Source organism: Homo sapiens, chromosome 5 (genome assembly GCF_000001405.40).
Source record: "Homo sapiens chromosome 5, GRCh38.p14 Primary Assembly".
Taxonomy (NCBI): Eukaryota; Metazoa; Chordata; class Mammalia; order Primates; family Hominidae; genus Homo; species Homo sapiens.
In genome coordinates, this window is record NC_000005.10 from 146,742,204 (window position 1) to 146,751,537 (window position 9,334).

Consider the following 9,334-nt stretch of genomic DNA (forward strand, 5'->3'; position numbering starts at 1 on the left):
TATTGCTCCAAAGGGTATTTCTTTTTTTGTGGGCTTTTTAATAAATCTAAAATGCGCATGAAGCCTCTGATGCAGGGGACTCCACACCAACTGCCTCCTTACTGTATGAAAGGATACCAAAATCTTACCGTTGGAGAGACTGCCAACACTCTGGATGGCTAGGGTTTAACTAATGACTAGCTATGCTGCTTCACTGAATTGGGCTGGCCAGTTGTTCTGGATCCTTTTACCTGAAACATTAATGTCTGAATATGGTGGCTATGTCCAACAGTTCATTATTACTTGAAGATATTCACACTATGCATTGATATTCTGATTTCTTCACCTCCCTACTTTTTTCTGTTTTTGCGAATTTTTAATTCTCTGCAGGGTAGAGAATAGATTTATAGTATAAAGGAAACTATGAAAAGCTAAGAAATAATGAAGATATAATAATAAATGATAATAATTATTATGGGTTGAATTGTGCCCTCCCAAAATTTATATGAAGTTTTAACCCCCAATATCTCGGAATGTGACTTTATTTGGAAATAAGAGTCATTGCAGAAGTAGTTGCGATGAGGTCATTAGGGTGGGTCCTAATTCAATATGACTAGTGTCCTTATAAAAAGGGGAAACTGAAACACAGAGATGGGTATGCACACAGGGAGAATAGCACATGAAGGCGATGAAGGCGAAGGCAGAGATGGGGTGATGCATCTGCAAGCCAAGGACTGCCAAAAATTGCCTAAAGACCACAGGAGGCTAGGAGAGGGGCCTGGAACTGTTTCTCTGTCATAGCCTTAGAAGGAAGTAACTTTGCCAACACCTTGATCTTGGACTTTTAGCCTCCAGAACTGTGAGACAGTACAGTTCTGTTATTTACACCACCCACTTTGTGGTACTTTGCTATGGCAGCCCTAGCAAACTAATATAGTAATACACAAACCAGGTCCTATGGTAAGCACTTTGCTTATATCATTTTACTCTCTTAACAACAGCCTTTTGGTCTGAAGATTGTCATAAACGATTGATGGGTGGAATGGCTGGGTGGGTGGAGGAAGAATTCTTTTTCTTCCCTTTTCACCATTCAAATAGGATTTTTCAACATATGCTGGACTGAAAGGACTTGGGCAGTGATGCTGGATTTATATATTCCCTTCATGTGTGACTTCACCAGAAATTTATAAAACTATCATGCGAGGCTAAAGGAAGGCATCATATTCAGCACTCCCTTCACTTGTGGTACATAAAAGATATTCTTTACAAAAGAAGGAAAAGGTGAGGTGGCTGCTACTCACCTAATGAGAAGGAATTGGGATTAAATTTAGCTTAGTGACTCTGATGGCAATTTTTACTTCTGGACTAAATGTTATGACCTTCTCCATCCCCACGTCTAATCCAGTTCAAATTCCTTGAGCACTAAGGCTCTATATGCTTTAATTTTATTATTATTATTTCCCTTTCAGATTCAGTTTAAAACTTATTTCATTTCCCTTCCTGTCAAGTTTATTTTCCCCAAGCTTCCTTTGGAATAGGCCCTTTGCAGTATAAGAAAGAAAACAGGCACTAAACTCTAAAGGAGAAACTGTTACACCAAGTCGTAAGCTAAAATGTGCCTCAAATATGGCCACAAAATTATTGAGCAAATATTGCTGCCAATCAATCTGCCTCCATAGTGGGTGGTTTACAGCCAGGGTTACCAAGATTAAAACTAGGACCAATGATGTGCAAAAGTGGGCCCAACTGACCTTATTGATTATTTCCCACTGAGAGAGAATCACAGGTTAGCAGGCAGAAATCAATTCAACTGCATTAAGTTAAGCCAAGTGTAGATTTATTCATACCATGCCTGGAAATTATAAAGTGGCAAAAAATATTTAACTATACGTAGTATACATACTAACTTACAAATATATCTTTAAAGTACATAGATGCTTGCTCCTTCCTCCTTTTCATAATATTTAAAAATCTGAAATAAAATATAGAACATAAGGCTGTTCCTGCATTTCCTCCCACACCATCCCCTGCCCCCACCCTTTTAAATAAAAGAGGTTATTTGTGAATGCTCTTAACATGGCTACTTCAGCCACACCCCAGATTTCAGGATGGAGTGGCAGAGCAGATACAGATATGTCTCCGCAGCCAAAGAAGCAATGAAAGCTATTTGCTCTTGAGGAAATCATCATTTTTGGCTTTTTAGATGAAAGGAACTTGGCCCTTAGGCTTCAGTGCACCATGGGGAACACAGAATTCATTCTCTTTCCTCCTCCAGTGACAACACACAGGCTGGGACTGAAGAGAGCTTTCAGAATGAACAATGGGTGGAAAACACTGCCCTTCCAGCAGTGAGAAATGTGAAATTCCACTCCTACCCTCACATGTGTCACCAGGGAACCATCCTGTGTGCTCCATCAGCACTGGGATATGAGCCAGGCAATCATTTGTACTCAGGGACTCAGCCTTAACCTAAAAAATCATCAGAAGAGCCTAAGAAGGGTTCCTCCTCATTCCTCATATCTGAGAAACAAAGAACAACACATTTTACTGCAAGAAATTGTTTGTGGATCTTATTGAGAATAGCTTAGAGCTTGCTTTTCCTTTAAGCAGGCTATCTACTTCTTATTCTGCCTAGCCAGCTAAGATATTTATCTCCTACTTTCATGGTCATTCACAGCCACCCAGAACTTTCAAATGCATTGCTCAGGGCCTCTGGGGGTGGCCTGTAAACCAACAAAAATACTTTTATCAAACACACCATAGAGATCAGGCAGTTAAGAGACCAAGAGTCAAATTTATATTCAGTTTAGAATATAAATTGTCCATTCCCAGTTCAATGGGAAAATAGATAATTGACCAAAACCCTTTAGTTGCTCAAAGCTGGGCACTGTGGCAATAGAAGAAACCTGTGTCTTTGCAGCTCAGTGTCAGTTGTCTTGACTCATTTTCCCCCAACTCTAAAACGTGCAGAGAAAGACAGAGAGAGAGAGAGAGAGAGAGAGAGAGAGAGAGAGAGAGAGAGAGAAAGAGACTATAAGCATGGAATGATGTGAAGAACACTGGGTCAGCCAGTGGGCCTGAGTTCTTACCCTAGTTCTACCACTTGGTAACCCTGTGCCCTTGAACAAGCTCTCAACTCTAAAATGTGGCAGGATTTCAATCAATATTCCAAGATTTTGAGATTTTTGGCCATAAAAATGGGATCTAAAGAAGATCTGATTTGCAGGGTTGTTATGGAAGATCTAGAAAGAAAATAAATATATCAGCATTTTGTCAGCTGTTAAGTGAAAGACGAATGTTAGTTATTGTCATAGGGATAAGAGAAAAATCTTTAAGAACTTACTATGAGCAGCCTGGCACAATTATTAGAGTCCTCTAGATTGGTAAGTCACTGAATCTCTTTGAACTTCAGTTTCCCCACATAAACTGCTTGCCTTCTGGCATGAAGAGAAAATGAGGTAAAGAAAGTATGCTTTAAAATGATAAATTGTCGGCCAGGTGTGGTGGTGGCTCACGCCTGTAATCTCAGCACTTTGGGAGGCCAAGGTGGGTGGATCACAAGGTCAGGAGATCAAGAGCAGCCTGGACAACATGGTGAAATCCCATTTCTACTAAAAATACAAAAATCAGCCAGGCATGGTGGTGCATGCCTATAGTCCCAGCTACTTGGGAGGCTGAGGCAGGAGAATTGCTTGAACCCAGGAGGCGGAGGCTGCAGTGAGCCAAGATTGTGCCACTGCACTCCAGCCTGGGCGACAGAGAGAGACTTGGTCTCAAAGAAAAAAAAAAAAAGATAAATTGTCCTAGAAATGCAAGCAATTGTTATCTAGAGAACTCATTTTGACTTTTGGCATTATGATGCACACACAGTTAGTTCTTGGCTCAATGACAGACTTTAATTGGCTTGGCTATGAAAACCTTATAGCGCTATTATGTGCTACACCTGTGATGGCCATGCAGCGTGTTAATCAAGACAATTAGGCTGGGGACCCAGAGAACGGCTTTCCACCACTGTGCATAATCCTCCTCACTTTGAAAGGGAAATTAACTGCTGCTTTATGGTCTCTCATATTATCTCACTTTCTTGGAGAGAGATCCCAATCAGATCCACCTTGACTAAACAACACCTATCACTGGCGCATGGGATGACACAACATCTGTATTAACTTTGACTTTGAAACAGCTTTTGGACTGGGAGTTTAAAAAAAAAAAGTCATATGTAGCAATCATTAGACAAAGCAGCCACTGGGTGACAGCCAGAATCAGAGGCCAGAAAGTTGATCTCTTTCAAGTGACATATTCCAGAGGAGAAAGGAACAGGAGGATGAGCAGATCAATTTAGCTCTCAAAGTATTTATTCTCTAGCCTGCAAAAGGAGAACAGGGCTTCCAGGACGACTCTGTCTGCTCCTCAATTTCTCACTACAATTATAAAATCTTTTGGAATTTTCTTCCTTGCGCTACCCCTGCTATCCCCATTTCTTCTAAGAAGCATGAGAAGTATATTTTGTTGTTTGGATTTCTTTCACTCTTGGGCAAAGCTGCTTGAACTGATAATTAGTGATTTTAAAAAGCAGCACATCTAAATGGTGGCTATTCATTAATCATAACATTCTGAGTTTACATGCATTTATCTTATTAAATGCTGTGAGATAAAAGTGCTGTAGGGATATTTAAACTCCCATTATGCAGATACCAAAACTGAGGCTCAGGAAGGCCAACCTAACAAGTTCATATGGCGAGTCCGAATTTTCATTCGGGTCTCTTGGCTCCAAGGCTTTTCTATAACATCGTGCTGCATATCATCTGTGGAGGAAGCATTATTCAAGGGCTAAGGACTAGGCTCAATTTATTTCTGTGGCTCCAGTACCTACAACAGTGCTTGTCACCTTCTAGGTGCTTAATGTGGAATTAAATTTTAAGAGGAGCTTCCCAAATTGCTTAATATCTTTAGAATACCAGGAAAAAAAAGGTCCAGTACCCCATTCCTAATCATCCTCTGCTATCGCTGAGTCAGAAAAAATGGCTCTTGTCTCCCAATGGTAGGCAGTTTAGCTGTGAGACCATCCTGGGGACATGGGTGTAGATAGAAGCAGATGGATCATGACAACTGGAAAGATCCCAGTAGAGCAGCTTTGGGCCTTAGTCTACTTTGCTTTGCTCTGGAAGAGGCCAAAATGAACTGTTCAACCTATAATTCCCAATTTATGCACCAAAGCACTCCAGGGCATCATGGCATACTCACAGGGATGCTGCAGGATATTTTAAATTTTGAGTGAACAATAGTGATATTAAACCTCTGTCAGATAATGTGAGAATGAATAGCATGAGGGAACTTACCACTTCAACATTAGTACATAGTATATTCCCCTTAATTACAAAGTATTTTTGCAAAGCTGGAGTTTTGGTAGTTAATATAATTAAAAACAAGCACTGCATCAAAATCAATGTGGAGCAGATAATGAAGGTGACAGTATTCAATCTGATTCCAAGGTTTGGGAAGTGGTACAGACTATTAGGGACACATAATTCCATTGTAAGCAATTGTAGTTAAGAATGAAATAAAATTATTTCTTCAATTTATGTTACTATGTTTCAAACAGTTACTACATTGTTAGTGCAAACACACTTATTAAGTAGTTTGAACCTAACTACTTAGTAAACAGAACAGTTGTGAATTTTTTTTTGGCCCAAGAACAGCATGAAAAAAATTAGGACGATACGAAGGGTGATATGAACTGAGGTACTTGGGGAACCTCTGTTCTACACAAAGCATGGTTTAACCCGAGATGTTCCAGGGCTGAACCTGCCTCTGGATTCTCTATGTGGTACAGTGACAGCCACAAAAGCAGCTCCCATCTACTGAGCTCTTGGCCAAACATAGGCAAGCTCTTAAGCATTGTAACTGCATGACCTCATTTAATCTCCAGAGCACTGTGAGCATGGGTCTTTTATGATCCCCATTTAACCGATGAGTAACCTGAGGCCCCAAGAGGCTGCCCATGGTCATTTAGCTAGTAAGTGGCGTAGCAGGAATTTAAACCCATGGCTGGTTGATTTCCAAAGCTTGTACTTTTTTTTTTAGAAAAATTAAGCTTTTAATTTTGAGATTCACATGCAATTGTAAGAAATAATAGAGAGTTACTATGGAACATTCACCCAGTTCCCCCCATCACAATGGTAACATTTTGCAAAACTATAGGACTATATCACAGCCAGGATCTGACATTGATACAGTGGAGATACAGACAATTTCCATCACTATAAAAATCTCTCCTGTTGCCCTTTCATAGCCACACCAGTTTCCCTCCAGTCCCCATCCTTTCCTTATCCCCTGGCAACCATTAATCTGTTCTCCATTTCTACAACATTCTTGAAATGATGAAATCATAAAAATGGAGAACAGATTAGTGGTCACCTGGGGTTAAGAAGAGGTACATCCAGTAGTACATAAGCTTTTGGAATTGGCTTTTTTTTCCCTCAATATTTTCTGGAGATGCATTCAGATTGTTGATTGTATCAATAGCTCATTCCTTTTTAATTGCTGAATAGTATTCCATGGTATGGACGTACCACAGTTTGATGTGCTGTTCACACATCTAAGAACATCTGGGTTGTTTCCAGTTTTTTGGTAATTATGAATAATGCTGCTATAAACATTGTGTACAGGTTTGTATATAGGTTTTTGTGTGCACATACATTTTTTTTATTTTTCAAAGACAAATACCCAGAGGTGCAATTCTTGGGTCATATGGTATTATAGTTTCATGTTTAGGTTTTTAAGAAATTGCCAAGTTGTTTTCCAGAATTTTTTCCCTAGAATATTCAGAAGGTACATTTTACATTCCTATCAAAAATATATGAATGATGGACTTTCTCTGCATTCCAGCACTTGTATTGCTACCATTTCATTTTAGCCACTGTGATAGATATGTATCTCATTGTGCTTTAATTTGCATTTCCTTAATGGCTGATAGTGTTAAACATCATTTGCTGTGCTTATTGGTCATCTGTCTATCGTCTTTGGTGAAATATCTCAGGTCTTTTGCCCATTTTCTAATTGCATTTTTTTAATGCTGTTTTGAGAGTTCTTTATATATTTTGGTAACTAGTCTTTGTCCGACATGTGGTTTTCAAATATTTTCTTCCGGCCTGTAGTTTGTCATTTAATCCTCTAAACAGAATCTTTGGCTGAGCAAATGTTTTAATTGTGATGAGGTTCAATTTATGGACAGTGCATTTAGCATAAGAACTCTTTGCCTAGCCTAGATCACAGTGCATGTAGCATAAGAACTCTTTGCTTAGCCTAGATCACAGTGCATGTAGCATAAGAACTCTTTGCTTAGCCTTGATCACAGTGCATATAGCATAAGAACTCTTTGCTTAGCCTAGATCCTGAAGATTTCCTTTTTTTCTTTTCTTTTCTTTTTTTTTTTTTTTTTTTTCGAGATGGAGTCTCAGTCTGTCGCCCAGGCTGGAGTGCAGTGGCTTACTGCAAGCTCCGCCTCCCAGGTTCACGCCATTGTCCTGCCTCAGCCTCCCGAGTAGCTGGGACTACAGGCGCCTGCCACCATGCCCGGCTAATTTTTTGTATTTTTAGTAGAGACGGGGTTTCACCGTGTTAGCCAGGATGGTCTCGATCTCCTGACCTCGTGATCTGCCTGCCTTGGCCTCCCAAAGTGTTGGGATTACAGGCGTGAGCCACTGCGCCTGGCCAATTTCCTTTTTTTTCTAAGAATTTTATAGCTTCACATTTTATATCTAAGTCTGTGATCCATTTTGAGTTCATTAAGATTAGGTTGAGATTAATTTTGTGCCTATGGGAGTTCAATTGCACCAGTGCCATTTATTGAAAGGCTGTCTTTCCTCCGTTGAATTGCTTTTGCAATTTTGTAAAAAACAAACAAACAAACTGAGTTGAACATATTTGTGTGGGTTTGTTTTTGGATTCTTTATTCTGTTCATTGATCTATGCCTCTATCTGTCTGTTAATGTTACACAGTCTTTCATACTATAGCCATATAATAAATCTTAAAATCAAGGAGACTGATTCTTCCCAGTTTATTATTCTTTTAAAAATGATTTTTAGCTATTTTGGTTCCTTTGGTTTTCCATATACATTTTAGAATAATCAGATCTGTATTTATAAAAATCTTGGTGGGATTTTGATAGCAATCACATTAAACCTATATATCAATTTGGGAAGAATTAACATCTTTGCCTCGTTGGGTAGACAAGTCCTATGCCTTTATAAACACTTTTTTATTTTAGGACGAACTAGGGTAACAAATTCAGTTGCTCAAAAGAGGCCGCATGTATCAGGTTTAAGAACATGCAGGCTTCTTGTGATAGTAGATTGGATACAGAATATTTCTGTACTGTAAGAAAACAATAACTCAATCAGATGTTAAATGACCAGGAACACTTGAGCTCAGCATTAGAAACATAATAAGGAATGGTGGGGATTGTGGCTTGCTGGAGGAAAGCCATGTCCCCTATGAATGGAGCAGTTGCTACCCAAGTCTTCTCATGGTTAAGAACATGGGCACAGCATTGCTATGGCTTATATATTTTCAACATAAGCCAGAAATCTATTTTTTAAAAAACCTAAAATGTTGGCACCTACTTTGAATTAACATAAAATAAAACAGTTCAAATACACACGTTGGTACGCTGGATCCAGCAGCCTCTCTGTGGTCTCAGAATTAGAGACAACAAAGAAGGTCCCCACCCTCAGGGAACATACACTCCAGCTGGAGCAGCAGAGAGACACCACAAAGCAGCACTGTTCTGCTCTCAACAGTAGGAGCTGAAGAGCATGCAGGGGGATCCTGAACTCTGCCCTGGGAGGTCAGGGATGGCTCCCCAAAGAAGTGGATTTACACAGCAACTCCAAGGAGAGACATTTGGAACCAAGCTGTAAGCACATTAGGAAAGAGTAAGGGATACTTTCCAGAGAATCCAAATCGTGGCATGAGGTACTCTTGAGAAGGTTAATTCAGTTGATGATTCAACATGTGCTATTTAATCCATTGCCTCCAGAGCAAACATTGATAGGATTAAATAACAGTGCAGAGCTCTACTTCCGGGCATCACAGAACATAGCGGGGAAGAGGTCATAGAGTTCAGTGTTTCTCCAAGTGTTATGTCACCTGTTGGGAATTGCAAAGCTAAAGCTTTCCAGAGGTGAACAGTTTTCTGATGCTCTTGGAAGAAAATCAGAGCCCCTTCTAATTACTCACAAGGACCTATGTGGTCTGGCCCCTGCCTGCCTCTTTAGCCTCCTCTTCTCTCCTTATTCCTGTCTTCTTTCTGTCTTTGCAGCATATCATGACTCAAGGCCTTTGCATTTTGTC

The 9,334-nt window shown here is 39.8% G+C and overlaps 1 protein-coding gene across 10 annotated transcripts in view; it reads right to left on the reverse strand.

Moving 5' to 3' along the window:
- The window catches only part of PPP2R2B (protein phosphatase 2 regulatory subunit Bbeta), a 500,779-nt gene that overhangs the window by 161,462 nt on the left and 329,983 nt on the right, over positions 1-9,334 (reverse strand). The gene's annotated exons all lie outside the window — the stretch shown is intronic.